The 21900-nt window shown below is 40.0% G+C and overlaps 1 protein-coding gene across 16 annotated transcripts in view, besides 1 other annotated feature; it reads left to right on the forward strand.

The window, feature by feature from the left end:
* RPRD2 (regulation of nuclear pre-mRNA domain containing 2) overlaps positions 1-21900 on the forward strand; it is a 112420-nt gene that overhangs the window by 39195 nt on the left and 51325 nt on the right. For 13 of the 16 annotated variants that reach the window (NM_001387121.1, NM_015203.5, NM_001387120.1 and 10 more), the window contains exon 2: positions 14255-14384. Coding sequence is in view for 12 of the 16 variants with exons in the window: in NM_015203.5 (NP_056018.2) it covers positions 14255-14384 (130 nt within the window). In the remaining 4 variants the exon portion in view is untranslated. Of the gene's footprint in view, positions 1-5564; positions 5699-14254; positions 14385-14647; positions 14770-21900 lie in introns of all 16 variants that reach the window. The other 3 variants (NM_001387124.1, NM_001387123.1, NM_001387122.1) reach the window with 3 other exon arrangements.
* Positions 8019-8242: a silencer, noted in NCBI's record as "fragment chr1:150383836-150384059 (GRCh37/hg19 assembly coordinates)". NCBI's record gives its function as "represses an EF-1alpha promoter that drives an FKBP-Casp9 reporter gene in an ReSE screen in K562 erythroleukemia cells {active_cell/tissue: K562}" and the evidence as "EXISTENCE:reporter gene assay evidence [ECO:0000049][PMID:32094911]".

Here is a 21900-nt window from a genome sequence, read left to right on the forward strand (position 1 = left end):
TACGCAGCCATCACCACCATCCATCCTCAGAACTTCGTCTCACTTTCCAGACTGAACGCATATACCCATTAAACAATAACTCTCCATTCCCCAGCCCCTGGCAACCACCATTCTACTTTTTGTCTCTGAATTTTTCTACTCCTAGATACGTCATGGTAATGGAATCATATAGTATCTGTTCATTTGTGACTGGGTTATTTCCATAACATAATGACTTTGCAAGGTTCATCCATATTATGGCGTACGTCAGAATTTTCTCCTTCTTATGGGTGGATAATATTCCATTGTATGCGTCCACATTCTTTTACCCAATATTTTTTTTTGTGTGTGACAGAGTCTTGCTCTGGCCCAGGCTGCAGTGCAGTGTCACAATCCCAGCTCACTGCAACCTCTGCCTCCCAGGTTCAAGCAATTCTCATGCCTCAGCCTTCCGAGTAGCTGGCACTACTGGTGTGCTAATTTTTGTTTTTTTAGTAGAGATGGGATTTCGCCCGGTTGCCCAAACTGGCCTGAAACTCTTGAACTCAGGTATTCCACCCACCTCGGCCTCCCAAAGTGCTGGGATTACAGGCATGAGCCACTGCTGCACCTGGCCTCTTTTACCCAATGTTTTCTTAAAGCTTACTGTAGGTCTAGAGATTTTTAAAATTATAGACAAATAAATGTTCAACTTTACGTTAATAATTTGAAAGCCTAGAGGAAATGGAGAAAGTGTCCATAAAAATATTAACCCTATTGACTCCAGGAGAAGTAGAAAACCTGAAAAAGACCTAAGACCCAGCTGATTTAGCAGCCACACTTGTGTGATTATGTGTTTGTGTTTGCTTTTATTAACGCGTGTTTTGTGGTTAAATATTAGTTTGAAATAATTTTTTAGGCTCAAAATTTTAAACAAGGCTGTTTTCTTTTTGTTTTTGTTTTTTGAGATGGGGTCTCACTCTGTTATTCAGGTTGGAGTACAGTGGTACAGTCTTCACTCACTGCAACCTCTGCCTCCCAGGCTCAAGTGATCCTCCCACCTCAGCCTCCCGAGTAGCTGGGACCACAGGTGCTTGCCACCGCATCCAGCTGATTTTTTGTATTTTTGGTAGACAGGGTTTCACCAAGTTGCCCAGGCTGGTCTCGAACTTCTAAGCTCAGGCATTCCTCCTGCCTCGCTCGGCCTCCCAAAGTGCTAGGATTACAGGTGTGAGCCACCACACCTGGCCTAAGAAGTCTGTTTCTTATAGCTAAAGTGGATGTCTTTGCTAGGCTGTATCAGATCTCATCCAAATAAAAAAAAATTTTTTTTGAAATGGGGTCTCCCTATGTTGCCCAGGCTAGTCTCAAACTTCAAACTTTGAACTCTGAACTCGTAGGCCTAAGCAGTACTCTTTCCCCAGCCTCTTGAGTAGCTGGGATTACAGGTGTGTGCCACTGTGCCCGGCCTCGTCACATATTTTTTAAAAATCTGTATAACTTACATTCAAGAGTTCCTATCCAGAATTCAGTCTGGTTTTAGACCTCATTTTAATATTTATTGCACCTTTAGTGCATGTCTCTCCATTATTACATATTGTTATTTCAGTGCTTATTAGTCCCTTGAATTCAGACTACCATATCTTACTTATTCTTACCTATTATAGCATGTGCTTTGCATGAAGCGGGTAGTTCATGAAAATTTATTGAATCTACCAATATTTCACGGATTTTGTCAAGTATTGCTGAGGGTTGTTTGCAGGATAGAGAAAAATTGATGCTTGGAGTTTTTCCTTTGGAGGATTTGGTATGGTTTGTTACAGATTTTTGTGATTCGCAGATCCTGGGTGAAAATGTATACTATTTGATTTAGTAGATTTCTAGATAATCATATGTAACAATGTTTAACAGAAATGAGTAGTAAATTAAGTAACTGGTGGATTGATACCTTATGAATGTTAACATACTACTCAGATTTTTAATTTAGATATGGCTCTTTCAGTGTATATTGAAGTTATTTTACTCAGGACTTGGCTTCTAAAGTCAGTACATAAAATGAAATTAGGCTTGAAAATACTGGAAATTTTTAGTAATGACAAAATTTTTTATTTTTTTTTGGTAAATAGCCTAGTACAGAAATATATATATGCATGATTTGTGCTATATTTGGTAGCATATAATTCCGTAGGCTGAATCATATTAAGAGAGTAAATCAGCTGAATGTTTTGATGCTTGGAACATGAAGCCGATTTAGGGAGAGTCAAACTTCCTGGTTTCTCTCTCTCTCATCATCTTTATGAAGATAATATTTCTTCTGGTTCTTCATCAGTGAGTATTTCTCTATGGCCTCAAATGTCTTTCTGATAATTACAGTTTCACTTTCCTGGTTAACCATGCCTAAAATATTAAATGGAAAATTGTAGAAATAAACAGTTCATAAGTTTTAAATTGTGCACCATTCTGAGTAGTATAATGAAATCTCATGCCATCTTGCCTGGGACAGGAATCCTCTCTTTGTCCTTTGTATCCATGCTGTTGACGCTTCCCACCCATTAGTGCCCCTGTTATATTGACCGCCAGGGTATTGCAGTGTTTGTGTTCAAGTAATCCTTAGTTTACTTAATAACGGTCCCAAAGCGCAAGAATAGTGATGCTTTTAATTTGGATATGCCAAAGAAAAGCCGTTAAGTGCTTCCTTTAAGTGAAAAGGTTAAAGTTCTTAATAAGACAATGAATCATATGCTGAAGTTGCTAAGATCTGTGATAAGAATGAATCTCCTATCTGTGAAATGATGAAGAAGGAAAAAGAAATTCGTGCTAGTTTTGCTGTTGCACCTCATACTGCAAAAGTTATGGCCACGGTGCTTGATTAACTGCTTGGTTAAGATGAAAAGGGCATTAAATTTTTGGTGGAATATATGAACAGATATGTGTTTCCGTTGACAGCAGTCAGGTTCTGTACTGTCTGGTTTCAGGAATCCACTAGGGGTCTTAGAACATATACCCCCATGTTAAGGAGGGACTACTGTAATTGCCTTTACCCCTGAATATTTGTTTAGGGTTCTTGTTAATTGTTTTCTCTCTCACACTCTGGCTTAGTACTTACAGGTAAAAAAATTTTTTTGAGACAAGAGTCTCTCTCTGTTGCCCAGGCTAGAGTGCAGTGGCACAATCTCAGCTCACTGGAGCCTCTGTCTCCCAGGTTCAGGTGATTCTCCTGCCTCAGCCTCTTGAGTAGCTGAGATTACAGGCATTTGCCACCATGCCTGGCTAATTTTTACTATAGATGGGGTTTCACCATGTTAGTGAAGCTAGTCTTGAACTCCTGACCTCAAATGATCCTCCTGCCTAGGCCTCCAAAAGTGCTGGTATTACAGGAATGCGCCACCACGCCCTGCCAAGTACTTACAAGTAAATTCTTTTTTTCTTTTTGAGATGGAGTTTTGCTTTTGTTGCCCAGACTGGAGTGCAATGGCGTGATCTCGGCTCATTGCAACCTCCGTCTGCTGGGTTCAAGTGATTCTCCTGGCTCAACTTCCCGAGTAGCTGGGATTACAAGCATGTGCTACCACGCCCGGCTAATTTTGTATTTTTAGTAAGAGACAGGGTTTCTCCATGTTGATCAGGCTGGTCTCGAACTCCTGACCTCAGGTGATCCGCCCGCCTCGGCCTCTCAAAGTGTTGGGATTACAGGCGTGAGCCACCATGCCTAGCCAGTAAATTCTTGTAAGTTCGAATATGGTATGACCTCTAGTAATGTACATCTCTTGATGTCTCTAATTTCTGTATTAGTATATTCTTTGTACTTCATTCTGTAGAGCATATGGTATTCACATAATACTTTTGGTTATTGGGTATGGCACATACAGTGCTAGGGTTCTCATTGTTTCTCAGTCCCAACAAGAACATCTCATCAGAGGAGTTTAAGGTACATTTTAAGTTCATTCATTAGTATCTCCCCAGATAAACTTAATTGTAAGTCTGAATCCCTAAGCAAGAAATTAAGGTACTCCTTTAAAAAATACATTATTTAGTAAACAAAGCATCTCTGACTTCTATACATACAGCACCATTTGTTCAGTGTTTTCAGTTCTTAAAAAAGAAATAAAATTATAACATTTAGATCCAAAAGGGGCCTTAGAAACTTTTTTGAGTACATTCATTTTACATAGACTTAGGCTAGTTGCGTCTTAGCTCAGCCTAACGTATGTGACCACCTGACCTGATGTGATGCCCTTTCACTCTCAAAATGTAACAGTTTGAATGATAATGTACTCATCCTCACATAGTGGTGGAGGAGTATGGCACTCAGATTTTCTACGTAGTTCAGTGTTCTTTCTGCTACCTTGATACTTTTTCAGATAATTTTTTCTTGTTAACCCTCAACAAAGCAACTAAGTGATTTTAAGGAAGTTGGGAGATTTATCTTTTTAAAGAGAAGATGTAGATTCTTTGAAAAAAGATGTTGTTTTCTTCTATTTAAATATTCAAGTGACACTGCCATTATTTGTACTGAGTGTCCTTACAGTTAAATATTTATTTAATCATAGGATATTGAAGCCAGAGGGTATGTTATGGACGATCTAATCTAAACTAGTTATTTTATATGGGTTTTTTTGTGTGTGTGGAGACAGGACCTTGCCCTGTCATTCACCCTGGAGTATAGTAGCACAACTATGGCTCACTGCAGCCTTGACCCCCCGGGCTCAACCGATCCTTACATCTTGACCTCCCAAAATGTTGGGATTATGGGTGTGAGCCACCACACCTGGCCTATGCTTTTATTTTTTATATAAAGGTATTATAATTGTAACATAGAAAGTTTAGAAAATAACATTTATTTTAAAATATTCATATGATTTTTTTTTTTTTTTTTTTTTTTGGAGACAGAGTCTCACTCTGTCGTCCAGGCTGGAGTGCAATGGCGCAATCTTGGTTCACTGCAACCCCTGCCTCCCAGGTTCAAGCGATTCTCCTGCCTCAGCCTCCCGAGTATCTGGGATTGCAGGTACCCGCCACCACGGCCAGCTAATTTTTGTATTTTTAGTTTCACCATGTTGGTCATGCTGGGCTCAAACTCCTGACCTCAGGTGATCTATCCGCCTCGGCCTCCCAAAGTGCTGGGATTATAGGCATGAGCCACCGCGCCTGGCCCGCCTATACATTTAAATAGTGTATTTACATAATTTACATAATGGTATATGTACATTTTTCTTTCCTGTGTTTTCACGAACTCTCATGCAAGCATCTTCATGTTATTTACAGACATGTACTTATCATCCATATAATATGGATGTACCTTTACATATACATTTAAATAGTGTTTTACATAATGGTATATGTACATTTTTCTTTCCTGTGTTTTCACTAACTCTCATGCAAGCATCTTCATGTTATTTATAGACATGTACTTATTATCCACGTAATATGGATGCACCTTTACCTAACTATTCCCCTGTTACTATTCTTTAGGTTGCTTCTAGTTTTTCTACAACTATAAATAACATTTTTGTCCATGTGGCTTTTTCTTCTTTTTGTTTTTCCTTTCTACAGCCTGTTTTGCAAATGAAGACAGACCTAAGCTAATGAAAATGAATCTTTTTCAGGGGTTACATCTCAGATCTTTGGACTCTCGTGCTGATGCCCTTTCCATTATACCATAATGCTTGTTTTCTGTAAAGACTACATGGATTGAAAACACTGTATCAGCTGTCTTAGCCCATTGTTGGAACAAGGCAAGGTAGACATAAAATGTAAATAATTCAAGTTAAAAATTATCTAACCCGTCTCCTACCAAGTTAACAGTTTTATTTTGTAGGTACTTAGACTTAAATCAGTAACCTTCCAGTTTCCTATTGTTAATTCCTTTCCCCTTCTGCATAATAATTAAAGCTGAATGCTTAGCTTGTAGATTGTTGAGGAATTGATGTTGTGAGAACACTGACTATATCTAGATTAACTTCTGCAACAGCCCCTAGAATACCTCATTGTACCTAGCCCCTACCTAATGCTGTGCATTTACAGAGAAGTCTTAGGGGATTGTTAGCCAAACTGAATAGAGGACTACTCTATTTTTCCCCTTTTCTTGTCTTCCTTCTCTTTTTTTTTCCTAATTTATTTATTCAAGAAGTAGTTACTGAACGCCAACTAAGTGTTAAGCACTATTCTAGGTGCTGAGAATTCAGCAGTAAATAAAACTGACAAAAATCCTTTCCCTTATGAGCCTATATTCTCGTGGGGGAGATAGGCAAAAAATAAATTGTATAGTATATTGGAAAATTATGTGTTATTTGGGAGAATAAAGCAAAGAAGGGTGGTAAGAGTGTTGTTGGCTTGATGTTGCAATTCTTTTTTTTTTTTTTTTTTTGAGTCGGAGTCTTGCTCTTTCACCCAGGCTGAAGTGCAGTGGCGCAATCTTGGCTCACTGTAACCTCCGCCTCTGGGTTCAAGCGATTCAGCCTCAGCCTCCTCAGCAGCTGGGATTACAGACGCATGCCACCACACCCGGCTAATTTTTGTATTTTTAGTAGAGAGGGGGTTTCACCATGTTGGTCAAGCTGGTCTTGAACTCCTGACCTCAGGTGATCCACCCATCTTGGCCTCCCAAAGTGCTGGGATTATAGGCGTGAGCTACCGCACCTGGCCTGATGTTGCAGTTTTAAGTAAGGTAGTCAGGAACATATTCACTGAGAAAGGAACATTTGAGCAAGATTTAAAGGTGGTGATTGAACGAGCCATGAGAAAAACGGGGGAAGAAAGTTCCAGAACAGTGAGCTTAACAGACCGTGAAGCAAGGACTCACCCAGGTGTGTTGGAGGCCTTGTAAAGACAGCAAGGTGGCCTCTGTGGCTACAATGGAATCAGTGGTGATGAAGAAATTAGGTCAGGAAGATAACACAGTGCCAGATTGTTTAGGATTTCTAGGCCATTGTAAGGACTTTGAACTTTACTCTTGTTAAAGAGGGGACCATTATGGGAGGGATTTAAGAAGTAGAATAATATGATCAATTTATATTTTTAAAGGATCACCCTCTCTTCTGAGTTGAGATTAGACTGAAGCCAGGCAAAGGTAGAAGCAGGGAGACTAGGTAGGAGGCTACTGCAATAATTCAAGCAAAAGATGATAGTGACTTAGACCACAGGCAGTGATGGAGGTAGTAAGTAGTGGTTGGAGTCTGTATATGTTTTTTAAACTTGTTATTTTTGAATAATTTCAGATGTTAAAAAAGTTTCAAGAGTATTACAGAAACCTTCTGTGTACTTTCCACTCAGATTCCCATTATTAACATTTTAACATATTTGCTTTATCTCTCTTACTGCTCTCTCTACAGGCACACACACACTTTTTTTTTCTGAACTGTTTGAGCATATGTTGCAGACATGCTGCCCTATTTAGTACTTTGGTGTTCATTTCTTAAAAACAAGGATATTCCTTAAACAGTTGCATTAGTCAGCTTGGCTGCCATAACAAAATACCACAGACTGGGTGGCTTAAACAAAGAAATCGATTTTCTCACAGTTCTAGAGGTTGCAGAGTTCAAGATCAAGGTCCAGTTTGGTCTCTGGTGAGGGCTCAGGGCTCCTTCCTGGCTTTAGTCTGTCACACAGACTAGAGTACAGTGGGGCGATTGTGGCTCATTGCACCCTCAGCCTCGCAGGCTCAAGTGATCCTCCCACGTCAGCCTCTGAGTAACAGGACTACAGTTATGCAATTACGCCTGGCTAACTTAAAATTTTTTTTTGGAGAGATAGCGTCTTATTGTGTTGCTCAGGCTGGTACCAACCTCATAGAATTGTGGTGAGGATGTAAGTTAATATCTGTATCCTCTTTAAACAGTCCCTGGCATATAGAAAGTATTAAATAAGTTAAAAATTATAGGCGGGGCGCAGTGGCTCATGCCTGTAATCCCAGCACTTTGGGAGGTCCAAGGCGGGTGGATCACCTGAGGTCAGGAGTTTTAGACCAGCCTGACCAACATGATGAAACCCCGTTTCTACTAAAAATACAAAAATTAGCCAGGCGTGCTGATGCGCACCCGTAGTCCCAGTTACTCAGGAAGCTGAAGCAAGAGAATTGCTTGAACCTGGGAGGCGGAGGTTGCAGTGAGCCGAGATCGCGCCACTGCACTCTAGCCTGGACAACAGAGCTAGACTGTCTCAAAAAAAAAAACAAAAAAAAAACGAAACAAACAAAAGAAGAAGGCAGTACACTAGGCGCGGTGGCTCACGCCTGTAATCCCAGCACTTTGGGAGGCCCAAGGCAGGTGGATCACCTGAGGTCAGGAGTTTTAGACCAGCCTGACCAACATGATGAAACCCCGTCTCTACTGAAAATACAAAAATTAGCCAGGCGTGGTGATGCGCACCCATAGTCCCAGTTACTCAGGAAGCTGAAGCAAGAGAATTGCTTGAACCTGGGAGGCGGAGGTTGCAGTGAGCCAAGATCGCGCCACTGCACTCTAGCCTGGACGACAGAGCTAGACTGTCTCAAAAAAAAAAAAAAAAAAAAAAAAAAAACGAAACAAACAAAAGAAGAAGGCAGTAGGCTAGGCGCGGTGGCTCACGCCTGTAATCCCAGCACTTTGGGAGGCTAAGGTGGGTGGATTGCTTGAGGTCAGGAGTTCGAGACCAGCGTGGCCAACGTGGTAAACCCTGTCTACTAAAAATACAAAAATTAGCCGGGCATGGTGGCAAGCGCCTGTAATCCCAGCTGCTGGAGAGGCTGAGGCACAAGAATCACTTGAACCTGTGAGGCGAAGGTTGCAGTGAGCCGAAATCACACCACCGCACTCTGGCCTGGGCGATAGAGTGAGACTAAGTCTCCAAAAAAAAGAATAAGGCAGTAAACAAGAGAAATTCCAGTCTTCTGGATGCTTATAATCCAGTGAGGATACAGACAAGTACACTACAATGTGATAAATGCTATAGTAGGTAAAAGTATAGGGTGCTTAAAGACCACTGCCTTTAAGCATTTTCCCAGATTACCTCAACCACTTTTTTTCATTCCTCCAGAATTTCCAAAGTGCTCTGACTAGAGTGGAGAGTTTGCATTGAGGAGAAATAGTAATAAAATAGTTTGGGGTGGTTTGCGGGAAGAAGTAGAGATTTAACATGGGGGTGGTCAGAAACTGACATGAGTTAAATTTAAAATTTTGGACGTTTTCCTATGGATGAGTAGAAAACCACTGAAAACGGTTTAGGATGAGTTATCCTAGAAAAGGAAAATTCTGACTAAAAGAGAAAACACAAGGTAGCAGGGTTTTTGGCAATTGTGAGTAATTCATTAAAGATGGAACTTTGAATTTGAGGGTGAAGAAATGAGACTGGAAGAGAAGGCAGGATGCAGATTATAAAGGAAGCTAAAGTGTTTCAGCTTTTTCCATTGAGCAGTGCGAAATCATTGACAGATTTGATATGATAAATAATTGGACAATTTTGCATATTTGAAAATGAATTTGGCTCCCACTTCCCTACCTTGCTCCCCTGTTAAAATAGAAACGGGGATTGATTTATGTCCCATTCCTGAATGCATGTAAAATTTATACAAAAATACTTTCTATGAAAATGATTTGTAATCTGTAGACTTAATACCTGGGAGATGTCTTGAGATATAAAATCGCATCCTTTGGGCTGTGGGTTTTTTGTTTTCTCCAAATAAATCTGATCTTTTCTTAAAAAAAAAGGAAGGAAGGAAGATAAAAAAAAGAAAAGAAAAATAAATTTGGCAACAATATAGGGAGGAAATTTAAGGGGAGCAAGTCTAGGGGCAGATGACTAGGAACCTGTTGCAGGGGTGGTTCAGGTCAACGGTGATGAAACCCAGAAAACAGCAATAGTAGGAAGGGAAAGACAAGAGGGGATAAAGTTGAGAAATATTATTGGGGACAAAATTGGCTAGAGTTTGGAGATTTATTAATAGGTGTAGGGGGATAAGGAGGAGAAGGAGTCAGAATTGCTAAAATTCTGACTAAAGAGTAGTAACAGATAGAAAAAGAGGAAGATGATTAATAAAATAATAAGGCCAGGCGCTGTGGCTCACGCCTGTAATTCCAGCACTTTGGGAGGCCGAGGCAGGCGGATCACCTGAGGTCGGGAGTTTGAGACCAGGCTGGCCAACATGAAGAAACCCCATCTCTACTAAAAATACAAAAAAATTAGCTGGGTGCGGTGGCGCATGCCTGTAATCCCAGCTACTCAGGAGGCTGAGGCAGGAGAATCGCTTGAACCTGGGAGGCAGAGGTTGCGGTAAGCTGAGATCGTGCCATTGCACTCCAGCCTGGGCAACAAGAGTGAAACTCTGTCTCAATAAATAAATAAATTACAATAAAATAAAATATTAAAATCAGCCAGGTGCAGTGGCTCATGTTCGTAATCTCAGCACTTTGGGAGGCCAAGGCTGGTGGATTCCTTGAGGACAGGAGCTCAAGACCAGCCTGACCAACATAGAGAAACCCCGTCTCTACTTAAACTACAAAATTAGCCAGGCATGGTGACGCATGCCTGTAATCCCAGCTACTCGGGAGGCTGAGGCAGGAGAATCGCTTGAACCCAGGAGGCAGAGGTTGCGGTGAGCTGAGATCATGCCATTGCGCTCCAGCCTGGGCAACAAGAGCGAAACTCCATCTCAAAAAGAAAAAAAAAAAATTAGCCAGACATGGTGGCATGTGACTGTAGTCCCAGCTATTTGGGAGGCTGAGGTGGGAGGATCACTTGAACCCAGGAGGCAGAGGTTTCAGTGAGCCAAGATTGTGACTGCATTCCAGCCTGGGTGACAGAAGAAAAAAAAAATTAAAATCAAGCTCAGGGTGCCTCGGAGACTTTGAAGTGGATGTGTACATTGACTGGTAAAGGGAAATCCAGGCTTGATATCTACAGATATGGGAGTCATTGATACATAGGTTGAAGTAGTTAAAGCAACTAGAAGGAGGTGATTATGCTGATAGCATTCCATTTGCTGTGTATTAAGCCCTATCTTAATTGTTTTACATACATTGTTTTATTTAGTTCTTCTAACAATCCTGTAAGGTTGTCATTTTACAAAGGAAAGCAACATAGAGAAGAGTTAAGTAATGTAAAAGACTCCAAAGCTAACAAGTGACAGAGCCAGAAATGGAAAAGATTGACTTACAGCCTGAAATCTTAAAACACTATGCTATGAGTAGAGAAGAGTGCTCAGGAGAGAATCCTGGAGAACATCAACATTTAAATGAGGATGATCACGGCCAGACTGGCTACCTATACATGATTCTAGAGGAGGACCCGGAGAGGTAGGATGAAAACCAGGAGAGTGGTTAAGAGAGAAGCCAAAGGAGAAAGTACTGTGACAGATTATTCTGCGCGCCAAAGCTATAAAGAAATAACATTAAAAAAAAATCTCCATTGAGTTTAGTAAATTGGAATTTGTTAGTAACCTTGAAAATTGGTGTTTGAGTGAACTGTTCGCAACATAAATGAGATAACAATTTATAAAAAGCTCTTAGCATGGTAGATTGCATAAGTGCAATAAAAGAGTGGCTCCTATAATTATGGAGTTAATGGGAGTTAAAAGTGTAGACAGTGAGTATACAAAACTCTTTCAGACTCTTCACCCTAAAAGGTCTTAACTAACATTAGGCAAGGAAGGAAAGGCTAGGGGTAACCTAAGGTGGTCACAAGAAAACTTTAAGATAGGAGAGACGTGCATATACATATGTTGAGAGACAGCCTGAAGGAATACAATATAAATATATAAATATAAATAAGAGGTCGGGTGCGGTGGCTTATGCCTGTAATTCCAGCACTTTGGGAGGCCAAGGCAGGTGGATCACCTGAGGTCAGGATTTCAAGACCAGCCTGCCAGCATAACATAGTGAAACTCCATCTCTACTAAAAATACAAAAAAATTAGCTGGGCTTGGTGGCAGGTGCCTGTAATCCCAGCTACTTCGGGAGGCTAAGGCAGGAGAATAGCTTGAACCCGTGAGGCGGAGGTTGCAGTGAGCCGAGATTGTGCCATTGCACTCTAGCCTGGGCGACGAGTGAAACTGTCTCAAAAATAATAATAATAATAATTAATAAGTAAATACAAATAAGAATCAAATTAAAATACAAGAAGCGAGGATAAGCCAGGTGCAGTAGTTCATGCCTGTAATCCCAGCAATTTGGGAGGCTGAGGCGGGCAGATTGCTTGAGCCCAGGAGTACAGGACCAGCCTGGGCAACATGGCAAACCCTTGTCTCTACTAAAAATACAAAAAAAAATTAGCCAGGCATGGTGGCATGCCTGAAGTCCCAGCTACTCGAGAGGCTTGAGGTGGGAGGATCACCTGAGCCCAAGGAGGCTGCAGTGAACTGTGATCGCACCACTGCACCCCAGCCTAGGTGACAGGAGTGAGACCCTGTCTCCAAATAAACAAAAAACACAAAAAAAGAAGCAAGCATAGTTAATGGAGCATAAGGTTCTCAAGGTGTGAATAGAGTCTAGGAAACAGTACGTAGTGGAAGGATTACTCTTTAATAGGAGTGATGCTTTTTACTAGGTAAATTGATCTAGGTGAGTTTAAATATGGATACATTTTTTGTGACAAGATAATTTCCATTTAATGATTTTTGCCTTCTCTGTGAAACAGCATATAAGCTTATCTCCTGAGAGTGAGAAGAAGAGATGTGGTAAAGATTCGGGCCTGACAAGTGGTTAAAATTTGAAATAGTTCTTTGAGAGAGGATGCTGACTAAGCACATGTGGAGGGACTGTATGTAGCATTGCGGGCCCAGGTGAAGAAGGAGACTTTTAATTCGTATGATTTAATTTTTTGTATGTGATTTTAGAACCCAGCAGCAGAAATAAAGGTGCAGTAAATGCAGTTAGTTAGATTGATCCAAATTTGGGATTTCATTGAGCACATGAGATAGAAGGCTGAATTAGGGAGAAGGACAAGAGTATGAGGGTTTTAATAAAATATTGGTTTAAATAATGGACAGAGACTCTGGAATTGATGAAGAATTGAGTACTGAGAAGAGAATGTAGAGTTAGAGAAAATAAAAAGCTGAGATCTTGATGAAATTGAAGAACAAGTATAATAGGAGTGGGAGGTTGTGATCAGAGAAGGAGATTTTAAAATGTACAAAGGAGTGGTTCTTGGAGGTCACCGAATGTGAGGTCAAGGAACTGAGAGACAAGAAAACATGGTAGATCATCCATATAGACATTGAAATTACCCAGCATAATAATGAAATTTAAGGTGACTTTGCTCAGGGTTCCAGATAGTACATTGATGGGGCTTTGTCATGAACCATTGAAAAACTTAACCGACTGGGTGTGGTGGCTCACACCTGTAATCCCAGCACTTTGGGGAGGCCAAAGCAGGCAGATCACCTGAAGTCAGGAGTTTGAGATCAGCCTGGCCAACATAATAAAACCCTATCTCTACCAAAAATACAAAAAAATTAGCTGGGCGTGGTAGTGCACACCTGTAGTCCCATCTACTTGGGAGGCTGAGACAGGAGAATTGCTTGAGCCCAGGAGGCGGAGGTTGCAGTGAGCTGAGATTGCGCCACTTCACTGTAGCCTGGGCGACAGAGTGAGACTCCATCTCCAAAAAAAAAAAAAAAAAAACAAAAAGAAGAAGAAGAAAAGCTTAACCTAGATGCATACATAGGATCATATTATTTTGCAGGACATTCGTCTAGTGATGAAAGCAGCAGCAGAGCCTCCCTCCAGTAGATGGGAAGACTAAGACGTATCTGAGTAGTATCTGGATTGGTTGATGGGGAGAGGGTCTATCTGTAATAAATGTTAAGCAATTTGCTTGAGGTCACATTCTGATTTGATTACAAAGCCCATGCTCTTTCTACTAACCTTGGTATTTCTGCAACAAGTTGAGCATGTTCAACTCATTTTTTTTTTGTCTTCTCAGATGTTTGAGACTATAATTTTGTTTTATTTTAGCTTCTCCAGAGTTACTGGGTCTTTTTTTTTAGTGCCAAACATCTACAAAGTGAGGGAGAAATGTCCTTGAGGAGTACCTTGAACAGAAACTTAACGTGAAGTAGTCAAGGTTTTTAGTATGTTTGGTAAACTGATCCATTAGTTCATTTGTCAGTTTATCCATCCAGCCTCCCTTCCATCCATTAGTTCATTTGTCGGTTTATCCATCCATCCTTCCTCCCTTCCATCCATGTAATTACATTCATCTTTTTATATCCATGTAAGAAAAAAAAAATAACCAGTTACAGTTTGAGAACACTGTATTTGGAATAAGTTGAACTAAGTGCAAATTGACTCATTTGGTTTTATTTATTGTCTTTTGTCATCTCTAGCTGCATATCCCCACCGTTTGAATCTCTTTTACCTTGCCAATGATGTCATACAGAACTGTAAAAGGAAAAATGCAATCATATTCCGTGAATCATTTGCTGATGTACTTCCTGAAGCAGCTGCTCTAGTGAAGTAAGTAAATCTTTATTGCTCTATGGGATCTAAACTTAGACAACTTAGAATTTTAGTTTCTTAACCCATTAAGAACTGTAATAATTGAACATGCTTGAAGATTAAGGATAATTTGCCTAAATGGTTGATTATTACTTTCTTGTTAACACACGTTTTTCTTTCTTTCTTTTCTTTTCTTTTCTTTTTCTCTCTCTCTCTTTCTTTCTTTCTTCCTTTCCTTTCCTTTCCTTCCTTTCTTTTCTTTCTTTCTTTCTTTCTTTGAGACAGAGTCTCGCTCTGTTGCCCAGGCTGGAGTGCAGTGGCGCGATCTCGGCTCGCTGCAGCCTCCGCCTCCCGGGTTCAAGCAATTCTCTTGCCTCAGCCTCCCAAATAGCTGGGACTACAGGTGCGTGCTACCATGTCCGGCTAATTTTTTGTATTTTTAGTAGAGATGGGGTTTCACCATGTTAGCCAAGATGGTCTTAATCTCCTGACCTCATGATCCACCTGCTTCAGCCTCCCAAAGTGCTGGGATTACAGGCGTGAGCCACTGTGCCTGGCCATGTTTTTCTTTTAAAAGCTCTCTCTTCTGTTTTCAAAAGCTGGTCTCCTGTTTATCCTTACTTGACCATGTATGTCTCCTGGTGATAATCTCTGAATGTGCTTCCTTCTAACTGCTGTGTCTGTTTTGTTTGTTTGTTTTAACACATTTCATTTCTTCTTTCTGAGTCTTACTGAAATTTTTTTCCCTCCATGAAATCTGTAAAGAGAAACGGAAATTATTTCCCACCATCATACTCCCAACTCCATGTTGATTTAATTTCATTTTTAGCGGTAGTTGGATCCAGCACTTCCCACAGTGTATTCCTATGAAATGATCAGAGGAAGAAGGGTTCTGTGCTCAAAAAAGTTTAGAAAATGATCCATACTACTTTTCCTTTCCTGAAGATTCAAAGTTCACATTACCATATCAATAATTTTATTTCTTTTTGGAGCTTTACAAAACTAATTTCAAAACATTTCCTGGCTGAGCACGGTGGCTCACGCCTGTAATCCCAGCACTTCGGGAGGCCAAGGCGGGTGGTGGATCATGAGGTCAGGAGATCAAGACCATCAAGAGATGGTAAAACCCTGTCTCTACTAAAAAATACAAAAAAATTAGCCAGGCGTGGTGGCAGGCACCTGTAGTCCCAGCTACTCAGGAGGCTGAGGCAGGAGAATGGCTTGAACCCAGGAGGCAGAGCTTGCAGTAAGCCGAGATCACGCCACTGCACTCCAGCCTGGGCGACAGAGTGAAACTCCGTCTCAAAACAAAACAAAACAAAACCACAGCATTTCCTAAACTCTGACCATGGGCCCTTCTTTTTGAATGCCTATTGAACATCCCCACATTCGGGGAGAATTCTGGTGTATATACAGTACAAACTTATATCTGATCTTATTTTTGCCCTGTATTAATACTGTGTTCTTTGTGTTGCATCCATATTTGTAAATTGTTTTCTATAAGAGGCACACACAGTTACAGGATAAACAATATATAGAGCAATATATAAACACTTATATGGAACAACCATAATAGCTAAATGCTTCCTCAGATTATATATTTATTATCATTGACCCATTTGTTAGTATTAACCCAGTCAGAACTGAATGATCCTGTCAAATTATGGAATATATTGAAAATAAGAAATAAAAGAACTGACTGATCCCTCTTCCTTAGGATTGTTAACTTAAAATGTCTACCTTGCTATTAGAAAAGATTAAAATATGGTACTACTTGAATGTACTAAGTAAATAAGTGCATAAAATAATAACACCTACCATTTGTTGGATATTTATAATTGACTAAATATTATACAAAGTGCTTTATCATTTAATTTTGAGAACAACTTTATACCGTGGGCACTATTGTTACCTTAATTTTTTCTTTTTTTGAGATGGAGTTTCGCTCTTGTTGCCCAGGCTGGAGTGCAGTGGCACAATCTCGGCTTACCGCAACCTCCGCCTCCTGGGTTCAAGCAATTAGGCAATTCTCCTGCCTCAGCCTCCCGAGTAGCCAGGATTACAGGCATGCGCCACCACGCCCAGCTAATTTTGTATTTTTAGTAGAGACGGGTTTCTCCATGTTGGTCAGGCTGGTCTCGAACTCCTGACCTCAGGTGATCCGCCTGCCTCCGCCTCCCAAAGTGCTGGGATTACAGGAGTGAGCCAACGCACCTGGCCTTGTTACCCTAATTTTAAGGAAGAAGAAACTGTGGCTTGGAGAGATTAGGTAAATTGCCTAAACTCTCAGAGCTGCCTGGAGGCAGAGAGCCAGATTCCCACTTCAGGCTATCTAAATCCAAAGCCCATGTTGTTTGCCACTTAACCACTAATCCATGCTGCCTCTTTATGTATAAAACCCAGTATAATTGTGAATAAGAACAACAATACACCAGAGTTTCTGCTATAAATATCACTGTAGTATCTATAACTTAGCCTAGTGTTTCCTTGACTTGAATTTCATGACCTATTTCATGGATTAATATACAGTTGCCAACCTTTTTTTTTTAAACCATGTAAAGATATGTTTAAAAACAACTACTTTGTGTGTTACTACCATTGTTTCATGGAAAAAAGTGAGAAGGACATAATCTCGGAATAAAGTACAGTTCTTAAGTTAAAACCTTAAGCCCCCAAGAATGTTTTAACTCAGTGAAACATGTCTTCAGAAACCTGTAGTAAACATGATACGTAATGATGAAACAAAGCATTCCAAGACAGAAGTCCTTCATTATCATTACTATTGATCATTATGCTGGAGGTTCCATTTATTTAGAAATGAATGAATGAATAGATAGGTCAGGTGCAGTGGCTCATGCCTATAATCCCAGCACTTTGGGAGGCCGAGGCAGGCAGATCACTTGAGGTGAGCAGTTCAAGACCAGCCTGGCCAACATGGTGAAACCCCATCTGTAGTAAAAGTACAAAAAGTAGCTGGATGTGGTGGTGCACACCTGTAATCCCAGCTACTCGGGAGGCTGAGGCACAAGAATCGCTTGAACCTGGGAGGTGGAGGTTGCAGTGAGTTGAGATCATGCCTCTGCCCTCTAGCCTGGGCAACACAGCAAGACCCCGTCTCAAGAAAAAGAAAAAAGGAATGAATTAATAAATAAAATGCATTTAGAAGAGACAGAATTGTCATTACTTGCAGGTAATATAATTATCTACATCAGGGGGGCAACCCTTTTCTGTAAAGGGTCGATAGTTAAGTAGTTTAGGCTTTTTGAGCCATAGTGTCTCTGTCACAGCTCCTTAACAATGCCATTCTAGCATGAAAGCACCAAACAGTACAGAAACAAATGGGTATGGCTATCTTCCAATAAGAATAGGCAGCAGGCCAGATTTGGTCTGAGGTTCATAATTTGCCAGCCCTTAGCCTACATAGAAAGTCATGATGATCAACTAATAAGATAACTCAGCTAAATAGCCAGATTCAAGTTGAACATACAAAATCAGTAGCTTTCCTATGTATGCCAGCAGCAACTTATTTTAAACTGTAATTAGGAAGAAAGATTTATCTTGCAAGACAAAAAATAAAAGAAAAACCCCACCCAAGAATAAATATTAGAAGTATGTGAGGCTTTTATAAAATTTCAAAAATTTAAAGGATATTAAAGAAGATCTGGATAAATGAAGATATATAGGGTTTTTTGAAGGAAAAGATTTGGTATTGTTAAAAATACATTTATTTCCTAATATGTTATTTATACTCTGTAATCCCAGTCAAAATCTCAGTAGGATTTCCTGTGGAAGGATAAATATCCAAGGTAATTTTTTTTAAGAAAAGTAAGGTTAAAATTCCCTACCGGTTATCAAATATATCTTAAAACAATAATGGAAGCAGGAATAGAAGATTGTATTAGTGAAACAGAATATACTCTTGCTTATAAATAAATAAATTATAAAGTATATGGTAAATCAGAGGATATTAAAATAAGAGCTTAATGCCAGGTGTGATGGTTCTCACACCTGTAATCCTTGCACTTTTAGGAGGCTGAAGTGGGAGGATCACTTGAGGCCAGGAGTTTGAGACCAGCCTGGGCAATATAGCGAGACCCTGTCTCTACAAAAAAAATTAAAAATTAGCCAGGTGTGGTGGCATGTGCCTGTAGTCCTAGCTACCAGGAGGCCAAGGCAGGAGGATCTCTTGAGTCCAGGAATTCAAGACTGAAGTGAATTATAATCATACCATGGCACTCCACACTCCAGCCTGGGTGACAGAGCAAGACGCTATCTCTTAAATAAACAAATACAGAACTTAAGTATTCCTTAAACAGCCCCATCCTAACCACCACTTCCCCTTTTAAAACTCACACCTGTAATCCCAGCACTTTGGGAGGCCAAGGAGGGTGGATCACAGGGTCAGGAGATCGAGACCATCCTTCCTGACTAACACAGTGAAACCCCGTCTCTACTAAAAACACACATACACACACACACACACAAAATTAGCCAGGTGTGGTGGCGGGCGCCTGTAGTTCCAGCTAGTCAGGAGGCTGAGGCAGGAGAATGGCATGAACCCGGGAAGCAGAGCTTGCAGTGAGCCGAGATCATGCCACTACAGCCTGGGTGACAGAGCAAGACTCTGTCTCAAAATAATAATAATAATAATAATAATAATAAATAAAATTAAAATAAAAAAATAAAACTCTTATTCACAATACTACTATACACTGATTCCTTTTCTGAATTTTTTTCTCTTAAGGCTATTTTGATTCCTTTAATTCAAGGGGGGCAAATGTCTAGAAGTTCCTGGCAGGTAATATAGATGAGTGAAGTAGGTTGAGTGTGAGAAAAAATTCACTTAATAGGGACAGCAGTTACTCAGTCCTAGGCTGATGGCCATGAAGAAATATGAGCCCAACATTAACATATGCTGCCAAACTTTTCTCGCTTTTAAACCAGGACAGAAATGTGGATTTTTATATGAAGTCACACCATTTTTATATGTGTGACATTGTCAGATTTAAAAAATAATATTGCTGACAAAACACATTTGATGATCATATTGAACCATGGGCAACTTATTAGGGACATTAATTTTATTCCTTGAATGCCTTTAAGGTGTTTATTGATTTCACTTGATTAAAAATTGGTATGGGGTGGACTCACGGCCACATGTTAAAAGAGGTGCCCAAATAAGGGAAAGTAGGACTTTCAGATAAGTTGGGAAACTATTTTCTCCAGTACTTATCCAGTTATTTCAGTTCTTTTTATTAAATTTCAGTTTATCTTTTCCATCACAGGTTGGAAATTCCATGGGCTGGAAACCTGGAGATTGTATTTTAGATATACTAGTTATTATTGTAAGAAAATATGTATGTGAGAGGGAGGGGTAAAAATGAAAGTTAAACCAACCTGGTATTTGCCATTTGTGTCCTAGAGGTCCTAGCTAAGGGACAGAAATGCCAGTTTATCTGAATATACATCACCATGAGACCGGAATAGTTGAAACACTAATTTGAAGCACAGGAAAAGTGTCTATGAATGTCAGAGTTGAGTTACACTTGGGAAACTGTGGACTACTCTGCAACCAGCAACGACTTCAATAAGTTATATATAGATTATAGAAGAATCCCTTTAAGAACTGAGGGTTTGCTTGTATTGTGTCAGGATGGTGTAAGAGTAGGTATATCTTTAATGTGGGTAGTGCTTTCCAAAATCCTGTCCCTATCCCAGGTTTTCGTAAAAGGCAATTATTTGTGCTTATACATTTTCATCTTTAATTGAACTGAAAAATGAATTTATGCTAGTTGTTATATAAGAGCTTAATGTGATTTTATTGACTCTTAAGGGTGTATAGAGAATTATATGCATGATCTTTTTTGGGAAAAGGTGTCATGACAGATTTTGAGGAAATAATGAGCTTGGTACCAGTTAAATACCCATAATCTGAAAATTTGAAATGCAAAATGCTCCAAAATCTGGAGCTTTTTGAGCACCAACATGATGCACACAGAAAATGCTCATTGGAGCATCTTGGATTTCAAATTAGAGATACTCAGCCAGTAAGGATAATGCAAATATTCCGAAATCTGAAAACAAATTTTTTTTTTTTTTTTTGAGACAGAGTTTCGCTCTTATTGCCCAGGCTGGAGTGCAGTAGCGCGATCTCAGCTCACTGCAACCTCCGCCTCCTGGGTTCAAGCAGTTCTCCTGCCTCAGCCTCCTGAGAGGCTGGGATTACAGGCATGCGCCACCACGCCTGGCTAATTTTGTACTTTCAGTAGAGACGGGGTTTCTCCATGTTGGTCAGTCTGATCTCAAACTCCTGACCTCAGGTGATCCACCCGCCTCGGCCTCCCAGAGTGCTGGGATTACAGGTGTGAGCCACAGCACCCGGCCAGTTGAGAATTTCTACTTAAATGTTATATGTCCATATTCAGTTCAGAATGCCTGAAACACTAACATGCCTTACTTTGTGTGAAGTCCTACTCCTACAGTTTCAATTTATGTGAAAATATGTTCAATATAAATTGAAAATTGCTATATAAATGGTAACTAACTTTGCAGATAAGCAGATTGGATTTTATTATTTCTATTTTTTTTTTCTTTTTATTTGAGATGGAGTCTCACTCCGTCGCCCAGGCTGGAGTGCAGCGGCACGATCTCGGCTCACTGCAACCTCCGCTTCCTGGGTTCAAGCGATTCTCCTGCCTCAGCCTTGAGAAGCTGGGATTACAGGCGAGCGCCACCATGCCCAGCTAATTTTTGTATTTTTAGTAGAGACAGGGTTTCACCATGTTGGTCAGGCTGGTCTTGAACTCCTGACCTCATGATCCGCCTGCCTTGACCTCCTGAAGTGCTGGGATTACAGGCATGAGCTACCGCACGCGGCCCAGATTTTATTATTTCTTTCTACAAAATGAGAAAAACTGAAGTCCAGAGCAGTTAAGATACCACCCAAAGGAAAATGACAATTTAGTAAAAGTCCTGGGACTAGAACCCAGATTTTTCTGACTCTCAGTCCTCTATTATTTCTGTTCTGCCAAATAGCCCTCCTAATCTAACTTACAATTTTTTATTTTATAACAGCACCTTAGTAATCTTTAATTTTTCTTTCTTATTTCTTAGTCATTTACCAGGGACTGATTCTTCTGTTAAAGTTTCTTCCTCCTTTTCTCTCTGCCTTTCAATTTTCTGTTATTGTTGCTCTGTTTGATATATTTATATTAATATTATAGCCTGCTAACTAGTTTCCCGGTTTGTGTTACCTTTTTCATTCACTTCAGACTACATACACACAGATGTCTAGAGATACAATGGTTTAAGACCATAGTCTCTGGAACCAGTGTGCATAGATTTGAATTCTGGCTCTGTCACCTCATAACTCTATAACTTTAGATAAATAAAATTAGTTTCTCGTCTGTATAATGAATCCAGTAATAGTACATACTTCATAAAGTGTGGAAACTAAAGAGTTAATAATATATATAAAGGGCTTAGAACAGTAACTGACATTTAATAAACAATAAATATTAGCTGCTGCTATGAT

This window comes from Homo sapiens, chromosome 1 (assembly GCF_000001405.40).
Source record: "Homo sapiens chromosome 1, GRCh38.p14 Primary Assembly".
In the NCBI taxonomy this organism is placed as follows: Eukaryota; Metazoa; Chordata; class Mammalia; order Primates; family Hominidae; genus Homo; species Homo sapiens.